This window comes from Homo sapiens, chromosome Y (assembly GCF_000001405.40).
Source record: "Homo sapiens chromosome Y, GRCh38.p14 Primary Assembly".
In the NCBI taxonomy this organism is placed as follows: domain Eukaryota; kingdom Metazoa; phylum Chordata; class Mammalia; order Primates; family Hominidae; genus Homo; species Homo sapiens.
The window spans coordinates 388,167-409,360 of record NC_000024.10 but is presented as its reverse complement, the minus strand read 5'-3'; the positions used below and the strand labels follow the sequence as shown (position 1 = coordinate 409,360).

The window sequence follows — 21,194 nt, the reverse complement described above, 5'->3', positions numbered from 1 at the left end:
GCCGGGCACGGTGGCTCACGCCTGTCATCCCAGCACTTTGGGAGGCTGAGGAGGGTAGATCACCTGAGGTGAGGAGTTTGAGATCAACGTGGCCAACATGGTGAAACCTCGTTTCTATTAAAAATACAAAAAATTAGCCAGGTGTGGTGGCGGGTGCTTGTAATCCCAGCTACTTGGGAGGCAGAGGTTGCAGTGAGCCGAGATCATGATATTGCACTCCAGCCTGGGTGACAAGAGCGAGACTCTGTCTCAAAAAAAAAAAAAAAAAAAAAAATCAGATCTCATGAGACCTATTCACTACCACGAGAACAGTCTGGGGGAAACTGACCCTATGATTCAATTCTCTCCACCTGGCCCTGCCCTTGACACGTGGGGATGATAACCGTTCAAGGTAAACCTTGGGAGGGGACATAGCCAAACCATGTCACCCAGCTACTCAGGAAAAACCGCGTCACCCAGCTACTCGGGAGAAACCGCATCACCCAGCTACTCTGGAGAAACCGCGTCACCCAGCTACTCGGGAGAAGCCGCGTCACCCAGCTACTCGGGAGAAGCCGCGTCACCCAGCTACTCGGGAGAAACGGCGTCACCAGCTACTCCGGAGAAACGGCGTCACCAGCTACTCGGGAGAAACGGCGTCACCCAGCTACTCGGGAGAAACGGCGTCACCAGCTACTCTGGAGAAACGGCGTCACCAGCTACTCGGGAGAAACGGCGTCACCAGCTACTCGGGAGAAACGGCGTCACCAGCTACTCGGGAGAAACGGCGTCACCAGCTACTCGGGAGAAACGGCGTCATTCAGCTACTCGGGAGAAACGGCGTCACTCAGCTACTCTGGAGAAACGGCGTCACTCAGCTACTCGGGAGAAACGGCGTCACCAGCTACTCGGGAGAAACGGCGTCACCAGCTACTCCGGAGAAACAACATCACCCAGCTACTCGGGAGAAACGGCGTCACCAGCTACTCTGGAGAAACAGCGTCACCAGCTACTCTGGAGAAACGGCGTCACCAGCTACTCGGGAGAAACGGCGTCACCAGCTACTCGGGAGAAACGGCGTCACCAGCTACTCGGGAGAAACGGCGTCACCAGCTACTCGGGAGAAACGGCGTCACCAGCTACTCTGGAGAAACGGCGTCACTCAGCTACTCTGGAGAAACGGCGTCACCAGCTACTCGGGAGAAACGGCGTCACCAGCTACTCGGGAGAAACGGCGTCACCAGCTACTCGGGAGAAACGGCGTCACCAGCTACTCGGGAGAAACGGCGTCACCAGCTACTCGGGAGAAACGGCGTCACCAGCTACTCGGGAGAAACGGCGTCACCAGCTACTCTGGAGAAACGGCTTCACCCAGCTACTCGGGAGAAACGGCGTCACCAGCTACTCTGGAGAAACAGCGTCACCAGCTACTCGGGAGAAACGGCGTCACCAGCTACTCGGGAGAAACGGCGTCACCAGCTACTCGGGAGAAACGGCGTCACTCAGCTACTCGGGAGAAACAGCGTCACCAGCTACTCTGGAGAAACAGCGTCACCAGCTACTCGGGAGAAACGGCGTCACCAGCTACTCGGGAGAAACGGCGTCACCCAGCTACTCGGGAGAAACGGCGTCACCAGCTACTCGGGAGAAACGGCGTCACCAGCTACTCGGGAGAAACGGCGTCACTCAGCTACTCAGGAGAAATGGCGTCACCAGCTACTCGGGAGAAACGGCGTCACTCAGCTACTCGGGAGAAACGGCGTCACTCAGCTACTCGGGAGAAACGGCGTCACCCAGCTACTCGGGAGAAACAGCATCACCAGCTACTCGGGAGAAACAGCATCACCAGCTACTCGGGAGAAACGGCGTCACCAGCTACTCGGGAGAAACGGCGTCACTCAGCTACTCGGGAGAAACAGCGTCACCAGCTACTCGGGAGAAACGGCGTCACCAGCTACTCGGGAGAAACGGCGTCACTCAGCTACTCTGGAGAAACGGCGTCACCAGCTACTCGGGAGAAACGGCGTCACCAGCTACTCGGGAGAAACGGCGTCACCAGCTACTCGGGAGAAACGGCGTCACCAGCTACTCGGGAGAAACGGCGTCACCAGCTACTCTGGAGAAACGGCTTCACCCAGCTACTCGGGAGAAACAGCGTCACCAGCTACTCTGGAGAAACAGCGTCACCAGCTACTCTGGAGAAACAGCATCACCCAGCTACTCGGGAGAAACGGCATCACCAGCTACTCTGGAGAAACGGCATCACCAGCTACTCCGGAGAAACAGCGTCACCAGCTACTCCGGAGAAACAACATCACCCAGCTACTCGGGAGAAACAGCGTCACCCAGCTACTCGGGAGAAACGGCGTCACCCAGCTACTCGGGAGAAACGGCGTCACCAGCTACTCCGGAGAAACAACATCACCCAGCTACTCGGGAGAAACAGCGTCACCCAGCTACTCGGGAGAAACAGCGTCACCCAGCTACTCGGGAGAAACGGCGTCACCCAGCTACTCGGGAGAAACAGCATCCTCCAGCTACTCTGGAGAAGCCACGTCACCCAGAAACTCTGGAGAAGCCGCCTCACCCAGATACTCGGGAGAAACCGCGTCACCCAGCTACTCTGGAGAAACAGCGTCACCCAGCTACTCGGGAGAAACAGCATCCTCCAGCTACTCTGGAGAAGCCGCGTCACCCAGAAACTCTGGAGAAGCCGCGTCACCCAGATACTCGGGAGGAACCGCGTCACCCAGCTACTCTGGAGAAACAGCGTCACCCAGCTACTCGGGAGAAGCCACGTTGCCCGGCTACTTGGGGAGCTGAGGAGGGAGGATCCCTTGAGCCTGAGAGTCCAAGGCTACAGGAGCGAGACCCTGTCTCAAAAAAAAAAAAAAAAACAAATATAAGTAAAGCAATAAAATAGACTGTGGTGATGGTGGCACAAGTCTCTGCATACAGAAAGCCACGGGTTGGAAGAGTTTAAACGGACACATTGTCAGCTGTGTAAATTCTCTCTCTATACAGCTCTTTTCTGGAAAACCAGTGAATGTGACGCACCGTATTCATGGCTAAGGGGCCAAACTCACATGACCATTTGCAGAAATGCAGGAAAAGCATTTGAGCAAAGGCAGTGCCTTTTCGCGATAAAAATTCAGTCAACCCAGAAGGGGACAGAAAGTTCCTCAAGCCGCTGAAGATCCAGAAGACGGCCCTGGCCGGTGGGCCGCGATGAAGGTCGCTCTGGGCGCCGTCGGGTAAAGCGTGAGACGCACTCCCTGTCAGAATACAGTCCAGGAAGGAAGGGCTTCTCCGAGGCGTCAAAAGTCATGCGTTGCCCCGGCCTGGGTTAGGAACCATCAGTCTTGTCATCCCAGAGACTCTCCCAGCACCCGGGGAATAAATGAGACATTGGAACGGGCTGCAATCCCGCCCCGGCAGACGGTGCCGTTTGATTTCTCTTCCATCTACACGATGCGCGTCACATAAAAAGGTGACTGTGTGGCCGGGCGAGGTGGCTCATGCCTGTCATCCCAGCACTTTGGGAGGCCGAGGCGGGAGGATCACTCGAGGTCGGGAGTTCGAGACCAGCCTGGCCAACATGGTGAAACCGCGTCTCCACTAAAAATACAAAAAGTAGCCGGGCGTGGTGGCGGGTGCCTGTCATCCCAGCTACTCGGGAGGCTGAGGCAGGAGAATCGCTTGAACCCGGGAGGCGGAGGTTGCGGCGAGCCGAGATTGCACCTCTGCACTCCAGCCTGGGCGACAGAGCAAGACTCTGTCTCAAAAAAAAAAAAAAAAAAAAAAGGTAACTTTGTGACCCTGAATAAAATTAAAATGTCTAAAAAATATGAGCCAGGCTTGGTGGTGCATGCACGCTGAGGCAGGAGGATCTCTTGAACCCAGGAGGCGGAGTCTGCAGTGAGCCGAGATCACACAGGTGCGCTCCAAGCTGGGCAACAGAAGGAGACCCTGTCTCTAAAATAAAATAAAATAAAATAAATAAAATGAAATAAAATAAAAATAAATAATAATAAATTTAAATAAATTTAAATAACTATCTAAATGAATACATAAATAAATAAATGAATAAATTTAAATAAATTTAAATTTAAACAAATTTGATTATTTATTTATTATTATATATTTATTATATATTATTATTTATTAATTAAATTTATTAAATAAATTTAAATCGTTTTTTAAATTAAATTATAATTTCCCTCATGACATTTAAATTTAAATGAAAATGTCATGAGGGAAATTATAACTATATTTCATTTAAAATACGTTAACAAAGCAAATGTTATCACAGAGTATTTACAACAAAGCACTTTTGGTGACTTTAAAAGCAGATTACACAAACAATATCACAGTGTTTTAGATCCAATGGGGACTACAAATGTCCGTTAAGGGTTTTGTGGGGTTTGTTTTTTTTTTCGGTACGACATTAAAACAGATTTTGTCAAGAATTATTACCTCCTCGAACAAAAAGCACATTGTTGTCTCAGGGAAAAAAAAACACACAATTATGCTATTGAGTTTGTGGCTACAAAGATGTACTGTCATATAAAGTAATAAAAACGGGGAAAACAACATAAAATAAGAGTTAGACGGATTAAACGACTTCATAGGAACCTGAGGAAAAGGAAGCAAAGTCCCTTTACTGAGAGCGCTTTTAGGGACGCATAATCAATACTAAAGTTTATACATCCTGCCTCGGGACTTGATTTAAAAATTCTCCTATTTATTAAATAAGTTGACGTTGTTTTGAGATGTAATGAAATGGCCGCAGCAGGTGCGGAGGCCGATTTTTGAGGGGGGCAGGTGGAGCACGGCTGGCCTTGTGCAGCCCTCTGCTGAGTGTGCGTGATTTCTACTGCAAATGCTCACTGTCAAGACACGAACCATTCCCGTTTATCTCAAAGAGGACTTATTTAATAATTCCAGCATTGTGTCCTTTCCTTGAAAGAAAGGACACAAAGAAGTGCAGGGGTGGCCGGGTGCGGTGGCTTATGCCTATAATCCCAGCACTTTGGGAGGCTGAGGTGGGTGCATCCCCTGAGGTCAGGAGTTCGAGACCAGCCTGGCCAACAAGGTGAAACCCCCGTCTCTACTAAAAATACAAAAATTAGCCAGGCATGATGGTGCACACCTGTAATCCCAGCTACTCGGGAGGCTGAGGCAGGAGAATCGCTTGAACTGGGAGGTGGAGGTTGCGGTGAGCCGAGATCGTGCCACTGCATTCCAGCCTGGGAGACGGAGAGAGACGCCGTCTCAAAAAATAATAATAATAATAATTAGCTGGGCATGATGGCAGGTGCCTGTAATCCCAGCTACTCGGGAGGCTGAGGCAGGAGAATCGCTTGAACCAGAGAGGCGGAGGTTGTGGTGACCTGAGATCGTACCACTGCACTCCAGCCTGGGCAACAGCGCAAGACTCCATCTCAAAAAAAAAAAAAAAAAAAAAAAAAAGAAAAAGAAAAGAAAAGAAAAAAAAAGAAGTTCAGAGTTTGCAGACGTGAACCCTACATGACCCAAATGTCGTCCTTTCCGGAGAGAAATCGCGTGGCTATGATTTAGGACGATTTCTACTTCCAACCTTTAGGAAAATGACAAAGAGGAGGTTCAATGTCTGCGCTGGGGACCCCCCGAGCCTGTCCAGGTTGCACCGTCATTGCCCAGAGAATGCTCAGATTGCATTTCACAATGTGGTCCCAGGGGCCGACCTATTCCGTTGCAGGTGAGCGTAGAAGCATGAAGCTGTTCAATCTGCACACAGCACCTGACGGCCCTGGGGTTTTACGCCGGCAATGACCGTGCTGTGGTTCCCACCTTCCGGGGTTGAGGAAGGACCTGCCAGCCTTTACGCTTTGCCGCCCCAGCACGCAGGTGGCAACTGTGGCAGAGAAGGGAAAATGGGAGCCCAGGAGGTCTCCTAGGGAGAGCAGCGATCCGACTGTGGGTCCCAGGGCGGGCTCTGAATCTCAGCCCCACTGTCTCCAAGGGGCTTCCTCAGCTGGGAAGTGGGAACCACGGTGCCCCCTAAACGAGGCATATTCTTCACTCCAGCATCAGGTTCCTGCCAGGGACTCCAAGTCAGGAGGACAAGCTCCTGCGCGGCCTGCGTGGCCGCTCCCCTGTGCGGGCCCTCTCCTGAGTGGGGAGAAAGCTGCTTCCCCCAGTTCTTCCCTGGGCAACACCCCCTGCCAGCTGCAAGGACACACACGCACACACAGAACCACGTGCTCAGTCACAGGCTCACGCACTCACACGTACCCTCACACACATGCACACACATACAGTCACGTGCTCAATCACACACGCACTCACACATACCCTCACACACACACAAATAGCCACGTGCTCACACTCACACGTACCCTCACAGAGCCAAATGCTGAATCACACACACATACCCTCACACACACACCCTCACACACACACACATACTCATACGTTCACACTCACGCACTCACACATACCCTCACACACACATACTCAGTCACACATCAAAGCATTTTCATAGATAGCTTGTTTCTAGCTTTTATCATTGGATATTCTATGTTTCCTTACAAGCCTCGATGGACTCAGAAACGTCACTTTGGAGATTCTACAAAAAGAATGTTTCCAAGTTGGTGACTCAAAACATTTAAAGTGATCCTCCTATCTCCTTGTAGCTGGGCCTACAGGCAGGTGCCACCATGCCCGGCTAATTTAGTGTATTTTTTTTTTTTTTGCAGAGACTGGATCTTGCTGTGTTGTCCAGGCTGGTCTCAGACTCCTGAACTCAAGGAACCTACCCACCTCTACTTCCCAAAGTGCTGGGATGACAGGCTGGAGCCCCGACGCCCTTGTTTCATTTATCGAGGGAACAAACATGTATTAGGAAGCTACCGTGAAGACAGTTCCATGGTGTAATGGTGAACATTCTGGACTCTGAATGTGTCTGTCTGAAAGCTACCGTGTGACAGGTGCCATTCTATTTCCCGGGGTCCCTGTAGTGAGAGAAACAGACCAAGGAGAAACCTTCCTGTCCTCGGCGGCTCACGTTCTGATTGGTGGGGGCTGGGTGGGGCTGTGAGGGGTGGGTTAAACCCAGACAGCCAGCAGGCACACAATTCGCTGTCATAGTGTCAACATTCTTCTCCATAAAGGCTTTCTTCTGGCCGGGCACGGTGGCTCACGCCTGTCATCCCAGCACTATGGGAGGCCGAGGCGGGTGGATCACGAGTTCAGGAGATCGAGACCATCCTGGGTAACACAGTGAAACCCCGTCTCTACCAAAACTACAAAAAATGAGCCGGGCGTGGTGGCGGGCACCTGTCATCCCAGCTACTCGGGAGGCTGAGGCAGGAGGATGGCGTGAACCCGGGAGGCGGAGCTTGCAGTGAGCCCAGATTGCACCACTGCACTCCAGCCCAGGCGACAGAGCGGGACTCCGCCTCAAAAAACAAACAAACAAAAAAGAATACACGGTTCCATTAAACAAGCCAGCCTCTCTGAGACTCCCGGAGGTCAGCTTTGCAGGTTGCTAATTTAATACAGAAGAAGGGTGAAGGGCTTATGTTTTTATAAAATGTAATTTTATATATTTTCATATTTTAAAACTTTTTATAAAATACAATTTTACATATTGTCATATGTGTAAAAATGTTTTTACAAACTATAATTTTGTTTCTATATTTTAAAATTTTTTATAAAACATAATTTTATAAACTATATTTTTTAAAAAATTTATATTGTATTTTATATATATACACACATACACACATATATATACAGACACACACATATATACACACACACAGATATATACACACACACACATACACACACACACACACACACACACACATCTGCACCCAAATTTCCCCGTTCTTTAAGGATAGAAGACATGGTGGTGAGCACCTGTAATCCCAGCTACTTGGGAGACTGAGGCAGGAGAATGGCTTGAACCTGGGAGGCGGAGGTTGCAGTGAGCCAAGATCGCACCACTGCCCTCCAGCCTGGGTGACAAGAGCGAAACTCCGTCTCTTTAATATATATTAAAATGCATACATGGGCCAGGTGCAGTGGCTCACGCCTGTAATCCCAGCACTTTGGGAGGCTGAAGCAGGAGGATGGCTTAAGCCCAGGAGTTTGAGACCAGCCTGGGCAACATAGCGAGATCTCATTTCTAAAGAAATTTAAAAATTAGCTGGGTATGGTGGTGCACGCCTGTGGTCCCTGGTGCTCAGGAGGCTGAGGTGGGAGGATTGCTGGAGCCCAGGAGTTTGAGGCTGCAGTGAGCTGTGATCGTGCCATTGCACTCCAGTCTGAGTGACAGAGAAAGAGTCTGTCTCAAAAAGAAAAAAAAAAAATCTAATTTTCTGCCATGAGAAAGCAAGTTGCTATTGCAGACAGCCACCTCAATCATGCATCCTGGGCTTCTAACCCTGAACTGACAGGATTCACACACTCTCTCATATGCCGAAAGGGTCATGGCTTATAACAATCATGTAGGCGGCCGGGCGCGGTGGCTCACGCCTCTAATCCCAGCACTTTGGGAGGCCGAGGCGGGCGGATCACAAGTTCAGGAGATCTTGAGACCATCCGGGCTAACACGGTGAGACCCCCTGTCTCTACTAAACATACAAAAAATTAGCCGGGTGTTGGTGGCGGGCGCCTGTAGCCCCAGCTACTCTCTAGGAGGCTGAGGCTGGAGAATGGCGTGAACCCGGGAGGCAGAGCTTGCAGTCAGATGAGATGGGGCCACTGCTCTCCAGCCTGGGCGACACAGCGAGACTCCGTCTCAAAAAAAAAAAAAGCATGTAAGCAAGCCTAGGAATCCCTTAGTCTTCCTTCCTATAATAGCAAAATCGTACCAATTCCTCCCTCCCCCAGCTGCCCTCCAAAAATAGCGCCACTCAGCAGGCCCACGATCGAGTGACGGGCACAGAGGTGAGCCCCACAGATGCCGTCTGTACACTTTCCACGGGATGTTTTTAGAACGTGAAAGGCCGGGAATAGCCTCCCCTGCCCACACCCACAAGGCGCCCCAGGAGAGGAAGGTCCCGCAACACGTGGTCTACCTTCTTTTATTGTTGCTTTTCATTTATTTTTATTGTTTACATTTTTTGGTAGGGGCAGGGTCTTGCTAGGTGGCCCAGGTTGGTCTCGAACTCCAGGCCTCAAGCGATCCTCCTGCCTCGGCCTCCCACTGTGCTGGGATTGTGGGCATGAGCCGCCGCGCCTGGTCCTATGGTCTTTCATTCCAGGGCTGAGAGGGAGTTCAGGTGGCCCCTTGGCTCTGTGTCCGTGTGTAACTGTGGCCGGGCGCGGTGGCTCACGCCTGTCATCCCAGCACTTTGGGTGGCCGAGGCGAGCGGGTCATGAGGTCAGGAGTTCGAGACCAGCCTGGCCAACATGGAGAAACCCCGTCTCCACTAAAAATACAAAATTAGCCGGGCGCGGTGGCTCACGCCTGTCATCTCAGCACTTTGGGTGGCCGAGGCGAGCGGGTCATGAGGTCAGGAGTTCGAGACCAGCCTGGACAACATGGAGAAACCCCATCTCCACTAAAAATACAAAATTAGCCGGGCACGGTGGCTCACGCCTGTCATCTCAGCACTTTGGGTGGCCGAGGCGAGCGGGTCATGAGGTCAGGAGTTCGAGACCAGCCTGGACAACATGGAGAAACCCCATCTCCACTAAAAATACAAAGTTAGCCCGGCACGGTGGCTCACGCCTGTTATCTCAGCACTTTGGGTGGCTGAGGCGAGCGGATCACGAGGTCAGGAGTTCGAGACCAGCCTGGCCAACATGGAGAAACCCCATCTCCACTAAAAATACAAAATTAGCCAGGCACGGTGGCTCACGCCTGTTATCTCAGCACTTTGGGTGGCTGAGGCGAGCGGATCACGAGGTCAGGAGTTCGAGACCAGCCTGGCCAACATGGAGAAACCCCATCTCCACTAAAAATACAAAATTAGCCGGGCGTGGTGGCTCACGCCTGTCATCCCAGCTACTTGGGAGACTGAGGCAGGAGAATTGCTTGAACCCGGGAGGTGGAGGTTGCAGTGAGCTGAGATCGTGCCACTGCACTCCAGCCTGGGCAACAAGAGTGTAACTCTGTCTCAAAAAAATTTAAAAAAAAAATGCAAAAAAAGAAATCAAACTATACATAATATTGCATACAGACAGTCCCCAGCTTCCAATGGTGCAATTCAGGATTTTTTAACTTTATGCTGGAGAGAAAGCAGTATGCATTCAACAGAAAGTGTACTTGAAGGCCGGACGTGATGGCTCACGCCTGTAATCCCAGCACTTTGGGAGGCCAAGGTGGGCCGATCACTTGAGGTCAGGAGTTTGAGACCAGCCTGGCCAACACGGTGAAACCCCGTCTCTACTAAAAATACAAAAAATTAGCCGGGTGTGGTGGCGGGCGCCTGTAGTCCCAGCTACTCGGGAGGCTGAGGCAGGAGAATGGTGTGAACCCGGGAGGCGGAGCTTGCAGTGAGCCGAGATCGCACCACTGCACTCCAGCCTGGGCGACAGAGCGAGACTCCGTCTCAAAAAATAAATAAATAAATAAAATAAAATAACAAAACAAAATAAAGTAGGTCAGAAAGGCAACTGGAGTCCATAGCCCACGTTCTGTAACCCAGTTCTGACTCTGCTGTGCGCCCCGTGGTTAGAAAATGGCAAGTCAACAGAAACGTTCTCAAACCAGAGACCAAGGCACATCCCGAGGCATCCGTCTCACTAACAACTGCGGGGACGTGGGATCTGGGGGACATCCTGTCTCTGCCACTCAGAGCGCTGCTGCGTGCAAACAGGTACAAATGCCAGCAACTCTTCGAGAGCTTCCCACGTCATCCACGGACGGGCACGACCTCTTCCTCACCACCAACACCCACCCTATCCCATCTACCATAGTGTGCTTGCCACAGCGAAGATGATTCCATAAAACACCACTTGTGCTCTGAAACCACAGGGACCCACGTCTGCCTGGACCCGGAAAAACGGTGCAGAATATAGCAGGTTTCTGGCCGGGCGCGTTGGCTTACGCCTGTCATCCCGGCATTTTGGGAGGCCGAGGCGGGTGGATCGCTTGAGGTCAGGAGGTCGAGACCAGCCTGGCCAACATTATAGGTGTGAGCCACCGCCCCCAGCCTGGGACCTTATTTGGAAATAGCGTAGAGATGCTGAAACCCCATCTCTACAAGGAATACAAAATATTAGCCGGGCGTGGTGGCGGGTGCCTGTAGTCCCAGCTACTCGGGAGGCTGAGGCAGGAGAATCGCTTGAACCCGGGAGGCGGAGGTTGCTGTGAGCAGAGATAACACCACTGCACTCCAGCCTGGGTGACAGAGCAAGACTCCATTTCAAAAAAAAAAAAAAAAAAAACAAAAGAAGAAAAGAAAAAAAAAAGAGAGAGTTTTTGTCACGGAAACGCCTGACAGTGCCTTGAAGCTGGGGATTAAGAGTGAATTGCATAGTTGGGATTCTGCAGCCAGAAAGTCATCGCGGAGTTAACGCAGTGCCTGGCCGAGGCTTCCTGAAAGCTGCTGGTCCCTGACCTCTGGGGCACGAACAAGACATCTGAAAATAACTGGGGTTCCGTGCTGCCAAAACGGCACCGGACGTCAGCTGTTCTCCCCGGAGGCATTCCTTCCACACACGGGTTCCTTTGGAGGACAAAGGGAGCAGATGCTGCCGGCCGAGCCTACGGCCTCTTCAGTCCTGGAGGGTGTGGGGGGCAGGAGGAGAGGGCTGCGGTGTCTGGGGCAGCCTCGTCCGGCCACTTCTCAGCAAGACGTCCCTCTGTGCTGTTGAACAACCATGTCTGGACTTTTTTTTTTTTTTTGAGACGGAGTCTCGCTCTGTCGCCCAGGCTGGAGTGCAGTGGCACGATCTCGGCTCACTGCACGCTCCGTCTCCCGGGTTCACGCCATTCTCCTGCCTCGTCCTCCCGAGTAGCTGGGACTACAGGCGCCCGCCACCATGCCCGGCTATTTTTTTTTTTTTGTATTTTTAGTAGAGACGGGGTTTCACCATGTTGGCCAGGATGGTCTCAAACTCCTGACCTCGTGATCCGCCCGCCTCGGCCTCACAAAGTGTGGGATGACAGGCATGAGCCACTGCGCCCGGCCTATTTATTTTATTTTATGTGAGACAGGGTCTTGCTCTGTTGCCCAGGCTGGAATGCAATGGTGTGATCTCGGCTCACTGCAGCCTTGACCTCCTGGGCTCAAGTGATCCTCCCACCTCAGCCTCCCGAGTAGCTAGGACTACAGGTGCACACCACCATGCTGGGCTAATTTTTTTTGGGGGGGGGGTAGAGATGGCATCTCACTACGTTGCCCAGACTAGTTTCAAACTCCTGGGATCAAGTAATCCGCCTGCCTCAGCCTCCCGAGTAGCTGGGACTACAGCATGGGCCACCATGCCCAGCTAATTTTGCTTTTTGGTAGAGATGGGGTCTTGCTATGTTGCCCAAGCTCATCTCAAATTCCTAGGCTCCAGTGATCCTCTCACCTCAGCCTCCCAAAGTACTGGGATTACAGGCAGGAGCCATCCGGCCCGGCTTTTTTTTTTTTTTTTTTTTTTTCAGATGGCATCTCGCTCTGTTGCCCAGGCTGGAGTGCAGTGGTGCAATCTCGGCTCATTGCAACCTCCGCCTCCTGGGTTCAAGTGGTTCTCCTGCCTCAGCCTCCTGAGTAGCTGGGATTACAGGTGCCCACCACCCCACCCAGCTAATTTTGTATTTTTAGTAGAGACGGGGTTTCACCATGTTGGTCAGGCTGGTCACGAACTCCTGACCTTGTGATCCGCCTGCCTCAGCCTCCCAAAGCCCAGCCCTGATTTTTGAATACTCTCTGTACTTCCCAAGTTTTCTCCAATCAGCAACTACTCCTTTTACAAAGAGGAAAAAAACAGTTTTCTGTACTACAGTGCTGTAAATCACTACCCCTGGCTATCAGAAATACGTCCTTCTGGCCGGGCGCAGTGGCTCACGCCTGTAAATCCCAGCACTTTAGGAGGCCGAGGTGGGCGGCTCACGAGGTCAGGAGATCGAGACCATCCTGGCTAACACGGTGAAACCCCGTCTCTACTAAAAATACAAAAAAATTAGCCGGGCGTGGTGGCGGGCGCCTGTAGTCCCAGCTACTCAGGCGGCTGAGGCAGGAGAATGGCATGAACCCGGGAGGTGGAGCTTGCAGTGAGCCGAGATCGCGCCACTGCACTCCAGCCTGGGTGACAGAGCGAGACTCTGTCTCAAAAAAAGAAAAAAAAAAAGAAATACATCCTTCTGTCATTCAGAAAAATGTGCATTTCGGCCGGGCACGGTAACTCACGCCTGTAATCCCAGCACTGTGGGAGACTGAGGCAGGCGGATCACGAGGTCAGGAGATCGAGACCATCCTGGCTAACATGGTGAAACCCTGTCTCTATTAAAAATACAAAAAATTAGCCGGGCGTGGTGGCGGGTGCCTGTAGTCCCAGCTACTAGGGAGGCTGAGGCAGGAGAATGGCGTGAACCCGGGAGGCGGAGCTTGCAGTGAGCTGAGATCACGACACTGCATTCCAGCCTGGGCGACAGAGTGACAGTCTGTCTCAAAAAAAAAAAGAAAGAAAGAAAGAAAGAAATACGTCCTTCTGTCATTAAGAAAAATGTGCATTTCACCAACTACACTCTGAGTCAAATGTAGGTCTTACGCAGAAAAAAAAAAACAAAGCTTTTACCGAAATGGGTACCCAGGCTCCATTCTCAATTTGCTTAAAATTTATGCTGAGCGAAATAAAAGAAGGCGTCACATCTGACATGCTAAGACTTTTTGCCTCATTTCAGATTAGGAGGAAAATCCACCCCATAGCAAAAGTCCGATATCTATCGTTCTAGTTAAAGAATCACCTAGAGGCCAGCGCGGTGGCTCACGCCTGCAACATCCCAGCACTTTGGGAGACTGAGACGGGTGGATCACCTGAGGTCAGGAGTTCGAGACCAGCCCGGCCAACATGGTGAAACCCTGTCTCTACTAAAACTACAAAAATTAGCTGGGCATGCTGGTGGGTGACTGTAATCCCAGCTACTCGGGAGGCTGAGGCAGGAGAGTCACTTGAACCTGGGAGGCGGAGCTTGCAGTGAGCCGAGATTCTGCCACTATAGCACAGGCGAGATAGCGAGACTCCATCTCAAAAAAATAAATAAATAAAATAAAATAAAAGTGAACTGTTTCACAGTAGCTGGATTTCGTAACGGCCCAAAAGCAGAAACCACTCAAGTGTCCACCAGTGGATGGGTGGATTAGCACAATGTGGTCCATCCACATGGTGGAATAGTATGCAGCCATGAAAAGGAACGAGGCTGTGACACAGGCTGCAATGTGGATGAGCCTTGAGGATGTCACACTCCGTGAGAGAAGCCAGACACAAAAGGCCACATAGAGTAAGATTCCATTTCTAGGAAAGGTCCAGAACAGGCAAATCCATGGAGGCAGAAAGTGGATGGGTGGTTGCCAGGGGATGGGGAGGGGGACGAATGACTGTTAATGGGGACAGGGTTTACTTTTGGGGTGAAGAAAATGCTCCAGACCTTTTGTTGTTGTTGGTTTGTTTGTTTATTTTTGAGACCGGGTCTCGCTCTGTGGCCCAGCCTGGAGCGCAGTGGCGTGATCTCGGCTCACTGCAACCTCCGCCTCCCAGGCTCAAGTGATTCTCCTGCCTCAGCCTCCCAAGTATCTGGGATTACAGGCACCAGCCACCAAACCCAGCTAACTTCTGTATTTTTAGTAGAGATGGGGTTTCGTCATGTTGGCCAGGCTGGTTTTGAACTCCTGACCTCAGGTGATCCGCCCGCCTCGGCCTCCCAAAGTGCTGGGATGACAGGCGTGAACCACCATGCCCAGCGCAAGTGTTCCGGAACTAGACAGAGGTGGTGGTACGCCATTGTGGATGTTTTAAATGCCCCTGTTCACTTTAAAACGGTTCCTTTTATGTTATGTGGAATGTATCTCAATTACAAAATTAAAAACAGAGGCCTGGCACGGTCACTCATGGTGGTCATCTCCGCACTTTGGGAGGCCGAGACCAGTAGATTGCTTGAGCTCAGGAGTTTGAGACCAGCCTGGACAACATGTCAAAACCCCGTCTCTACAAAAAAAATTAGCCAGGTGTGGTGGCAGGTGCCTGTGGTCCCAGCTAATTGGGAGGCTGAGGTGGGAGGATCGCTTGAGCCTGGGAGGCGGAGGTTGCAGTGAGCTGAGATCGCACCACTGCACTCCAACCTGGTGACAGAGTGAGATCCTAGCTCAAAAAAAAAATTGGCCGGGCGCGGTGGCTCACGCCTGTCATCCCAGCACTTCGTGAGGCTGAGGCGGGCGGATCACAAGGCTAGGAGATCGAGACCATCCTGACTAACACGGTGAAATCCCACCTCTACTAAAAATACAAAAAATTAGCCGGGCGTGGTGGTGGGCACCTGTGGTCCCAGCTACTCGGGAGGCTGAGGCAGGAGAATGGCGTGAACCCGGGAGGTGGAGCTTGCAGTGAGCCGAGATTGTGCCACTGCAGTCCGGCCTGGGCAAAAGAGCAAGACTGTCTCAAAAAAAAAAAAAAAATTAAAAATATAAATCTTTCAAAACCCTAAACAACTGTCTACAGTGTGATGTTCTGGGTCGTGGATAAGAGGAAAGTACTTATTAAAAGGATTCAAGGCTGCGTGCGGTAGCTCACGCCTGTAATCCCAGCACTTTGGGAGGTCGAGGCAGGAGGATTGCTTGAGGCCAAGAGTTTGAGACCAGCCTGGGCAACATAGTCAGACCCCATCTCTAGAAAAAAATAAAAAAATTAGGCGGGCATGGCGGTGCATGCCTGCAGTCTCAGCTACTCGGGAGGCTGAGGGTGGAGGATCACTTGAGCCTAGGAGGTCAAGACAGCAGCTGTGATCGTACAACCGCACTCCAGCCTGGGTAACGGAGTGAGACCCTGTCTCGGAAGGAAGAGAGAAAGAGAGAGGAAGGAAGAGAGAAAGAGAGAGGAAGAAAGAGAGAAAGAGAGAGGAAGAAAGAGAGAGAAAAAGAAATCTCAGCTCCAAGTATTACCAAGAAAAATAAGAGATGACACATAGGAAAACCTGTTTCTAATGAGCTCAAGCACGGGCCAAGTTCAATCAGAGATATGCATGACATTTATTATTATCATGAACAACACCAAAATAGATGCAGTTAGGGGTGATACAAAATGCTGGCCAGGCGCGGTGACTCACATCTGTAATCCCAGCACTTTTCGGAGGCCGAGACGGGCAGATCTCCTGAGGTCGGGAGTTCGAGACCAGCCTGGCCAACGCGGCAAAACCCAGTCTCTACTAAAAATATAAAAGGTAGCCGGGCGTGGTGGCAGGTGCCTGTAATCCCAGCTACTTGGGAGGCTGAGGCAGGAGAATCGCTTGAACCCGGGAGGCGGCTCCAACCTGGGCGACAAGAGCAAAAACTACGTCTCAAAAAAAAAAAAATAGAGAGAAAAGAAAATGCCATCTGCGTGCTCTTTGCAAACATTTCCCCATCTGCGTGCTCTTTGCAAACATTTCCTCCCGAAAGTCTCCCGGAATGATAAAAGCAACCACACAGCCTGGCCACCTAGAATCTGGGTCCGCTTGTTCCAGGCTCAGAATCTTTTTCCTCTCAGCCAGTCTCATCTTCCGGGCTGTCAACAGCGTGTGCAGGGCCGCAGGATTTATAGGTAATGACATGCTTCTAATTCTCCATTACCTCCAAAGATTTCATCTTCCCCTTTTCTAAATCCTTCTTAGGAGATACTTGTCAGGTTCATCTGGCCCAGCAGCTTCTGACAAGGGGACCCCGCTCATCCCCGTCATCTCTGTGACTTCATGTAAATAGCGGCACGTGGCGGCCGCCTTTGGCCCTCGGCCCCGAATCCATTGCGGAGTCTCACTTCCATTAATTCTTAATTTGTGACCACGCTTCCTTTTCTGTTCTGTGTTTAAATGGAGATGTGATTAGTAAGGTAATAGGAGAAAGCCGGGGTCCTCACGATGCAACGTGCATTTCTGCGCCTTATAGAAAATTGGATAGGCGTCATTATTTCTTCCAGTAGCAGAGTGCATTCTGACATCTGATTGCTTGAACTGTGATATTTCCATACGCCATCCATCACCCCGGCCACGGCGGCACGCTGAATATTCAGATTAAATTGGAACTTTTTCCCTATGAATAAGGGATTTCATTCTATCCTATAAGATACACTGTCTCCGGGGAGAGGAAATTGAGTTGAAGGTTGCTGAAAATCGTATTATCCAAATACAGAGTTCTTTTCCTTATCATCAAAACCTGAAACACAGCCGTGGGGAACCGAGAGGTCAGGAGAGAATTCAATTAGAGAGGAAAATGGAAAAGGGAGCATTTTTCCACTTACGTTTTATTTTGCCAAGCAGGTGGCAGCGGGCGCCGCTCGGGACAAAAGGGGCGATGTGTGAAGGGTTTTTGGTTTCTGGAAGATGGATGAGGACACAGCCTCAAGGAGTTATGAAGAGGCAGGAAAACCTCTACAGCAAATGTTCCATCCTCTCCTTTGCCGGTTTTGGACGAGGTATCTGTGAGAGTTCCTGGCCTCTTACTGCCACAGTTACGGTGGTTTCTTTTTTTGGGAGGGAGTCTCGCTCTGTCACCCAGGCTGGAGTACAGCAGCGCGATCTCGGCTCACTGCAACCTCCGCCTCCACCGGGTTCAAGCGATTCTCCTGCCTCAGCCTCCCCAGTAGCTGGGATGACAGGTGCACGCCACCACATCTGGCTAATTTTTGGATTTTTAGTACAGATGGGGCTTCACCATATTGGCCAGGCTGGTCTCGAACTCCTGACCTTGTGATCCGCCCACCTCGGCCTCCCAAAGTGCTGGGATTATAGGAGTGAGCCACCACTCCCGGCCCACGGTTAGAGTCTAAACTGTGCACGCTGCCTGGAGTCCCCACCTCTCCTCACCTGAAATATGCACTCGGAAATGTGTTTCCAAAACCTGCAGAATGCAGACCCACACTACTTTCCTATTTATTTATTCATTTTGAGACAGAGTCTCGCTCTGTCGCCAGGCTGGAGTACAGGGGCATGATCTCTGTTCACTGCAAGCTCCGCCTCCCGGGTTCAAGTGATTCTCCTGCCTCAGCCTCCCGAGTTGCTAGGGTTACAGGTGCCCGCCACCACGCCCAGCTAATATTTGTATTTTTAGTAGAGACGGGGTTTCACCACGTTGGCCAGGCTGGTTTCGATCTCTTGACCTCGTGATCCACCCCTGTCGGCCTCCCAAAGTGCTGGGATGACACTGTGCTCGGCTGGGTTTTTTGTTTTTTTTTGTTTGTTTGTTTTGTTTGTTTGTTTTAAGTCATCGTGCGGAATGCAAGCGGCAGATATAAACTTGATCCCTCTTTGACCTCTCACTGCACGCACCTAGCTGGGAGCTTTGGGTCGGCGCAGGACCAGGGAGATCCTACTTGCCAGGTGCTTCCTCTGAGGCATCTCCAGGTCTGGAGCTTTAGTGTTCGATCAACCACCCAGGTCTGCGGGGCGAAGGCCGACTGAGATCCAGAGCATGTCATACAGTGGGTGAGTTTGCATTTCTGAGCAGCTGCAGGTGGGGCAGAGGCTGCAGAGGCTGTGGCCACACAGGAGACCCGGGCTCAGGTGGATGAAGGAAGGAGCTTCTCTCCCTCTACAACCGTTGTGGCTCCCTCCTTCCTCACCTCCCTGGGAAGCGCTGACCCAGCTCTTTGTTCCTGGACCTACATCCCACAGAGGAGCAGAGTCTTCCGGAATCTTCCTCGCTACTCTTCCCTCCCCATTCTCGCTTTTTATTTTATTTTTATTTTTATTTTTTCGAGAGGGAGTCTCGCTCTGCTGTCCAGGCTGGAGTGCAATGCTGTGATCTCGGCTCACTGCAACGTCTGTCTCCTGGGTTCAAGTGATTCTTCTGCCTCAGTCTCCCAAGTAGCTGGGATTACAGGCACCCGCCATCATGCCCAGCTAATTTTTCTATTTTTGTAAAGACGGGGTTTCACCATGTTGGCCAGGCTGGTCTCGAACTCCTGACCTCAGGTGATCTGCCTGCCTCAGCTTCCCAAAGTGCTGGGATGACAGGTGTGAGCCACCACGTCTGGCTAATTTTTGTATTTTTGTAGAGACGGGGTTTCAGCATGTTGGTCAGGCTGGTCTCGAACTCCTGACCTCAGGTGATCCTCCCACCTCAGCTTCCCAAAGTGCTGGGATAACAGGTGTGAGCCACGATATCTGGCTGCTTTTTAAAATTTAATGCTTTTAGGGACAGAGTCTTTCATTCCTGCCTCGGCTGGAGAGCGGTGGTGAGATCTCGGCTCACTGAAGCCTCAACCTCCCAGGCTCAAACGATCCTCCTACCTCAGCCTCCCGAGTAGCTGGGACCACAGGCACACGCCAGGATGCTCAGCTAATTTTTAAATATTCTCTAGAGATGGGGCTCGCCATGTTGCCAAGGCTGGTCTTGACCTCCTGGGCTTAAACAATCCTCCTGCCTCGGCCTCCCAAAGTGCTGGGATGACAGGTGTGAGCCACCATGCCTGGCTAATTTTTGTATTTTTGTAGAGACGGGGTTTCACCATGTTGGCCAGGCTGGTCTCGAACTCCTGACCTCAGGTGATCCACCACCTCGGCCTCCCAAAGTGCTGGGATGACAGGTGTGAGCCACCGTGCCTGGCTAATTTTTGTATTTTTGTAGAGACGGGGGTTTCACCATGTTGGCCAGGCTGGTCTTGAACCCCTGACCTCAGGTGATCCACCGTCTCGGCCTCCCAAAGTGCTGGGATGACAGGCATGAGCCACTGCAATCTCCCGGCCTGCCCTCACCTTTCTCTCCCCAGGACAATTCTGGTGGCCACCCACCACCCCTGCAAGACGGACAGACCCGAATGGGCAGGGCGTCCATCCGGCTGTGGAGCAGCTTGGATAATTGCAGCTGGCCACATCCCAGCAAACTCTGCAACACCTCAGGCCCTGCCAGCCTTGGGGGCCCGACAGCACCTCTTTGTTCTCCCAGAGCAAAGCCTGCACGGAGTGGGCCCCCGGGCCCCAGCGCAGACTGAAGGCGCATTCTGTTTCTGCCCTGAGTTGATTTCTGTCCTGTTGGCCCTGGGCCTCACTACACTGTGCCCCAGTAACCTGGCAGAGAAAGGCCTCTTGTGCAGGCATTCAAAGGAAACCCTTTCCCCTCAAAACTGCAGTGATGCTTCCAACAGTGACTCGCAGCTCATCGAAACACCCAGAATGAAAAGCACGTTTGTTCCTTGAAAAGACGTCTGTGTCCGATACATACTCAAACAGAGAACTGTATTAATATATTCACTTCCCTCCAGAAATCACAGCATCGCACACACACACAAACGGTTGCTTCCCAATTAGGAAAAATAACTTCACAGAATTCCTGCGTGATGGCGCTCTTCTGACCAAGTACACTCGGATTTTTATATCCAATCACGAAACACAAACTGAAATTCAAATCATTATGTACACAACACAAAACTATCGTTTATGAGTGATTTAAATCGGGTGCGGTGGCTCACGCCTGTAATCCCAACGCTTTGGGAGGCAGAGACAGAGGCAAAGGCAGGAAGATTGCTTGAGGCCAGGAGTGTGAGACCAGCAACACCTCGTCTCTATAAACAATAAAATTAAAAATGAGCCAGGCATGGTGGCGCATGCCTGTTGTCCCAGCTGCTTGGAAGGCTGAGGTGGGAGGATCGCTTGAGCCAGGAGATCAAGGCTGCACTCAGCTAAGATCGCAGCCTGGGTGACGGAGCAAAACCCTGTCTCATACGAACAAAAAGAGTTATTTAGGCCGGGCGTGGTAGCTCACGCCTGTAATCCCAGCACTTTGGGAGGCCGAGGCGGGTGGATCACTTGAGGTCAGGAGTTCGAGACCATCCTGGCTAATACGGTGAAACCCTGTCTCTACCAAAAATACAAAAATTAGCCAGGCGTGGTGGCGGGCGCCTGTAATCCCAGCTACTCGGGAGGCTGAGGCAGGAGGATCCCTTGAACCCGGGAGGCGGAGGTTACAGTGAGCTGAGATCTTGCCATCGCACTCCAGCCTGGGCGACAGAGCGAGACTCCAACTCAAAAAAAAAATAAAACTAAAAAAAGAGTTATTTTTTTTTTTTTTGAGACAAAGTCTGGCTCTGTCGCCCAGGCTGGA

General features: G+C 51.4%; 1 annotated feature.

The window, feature by feature from the left end:
- Positions 11,392-12,277: an enhancer, noted in NCBI's record as "H3K27ac-H3K4me1 hESC enhancer chrX:357819-358704 (GRCh37/hg19 assembly coordinates)". NCBI's record gives its function as "activates a minimal SCP1, AML or CMV promoter by ChIP-STARR-seq in primed H9 embryonic stem cells {active_cell/tissue: H9 hESC(primed)}" and the evidence as "EXISTENCE:reporter gene assay evidence [ECO:0000049][PMID:30033119]".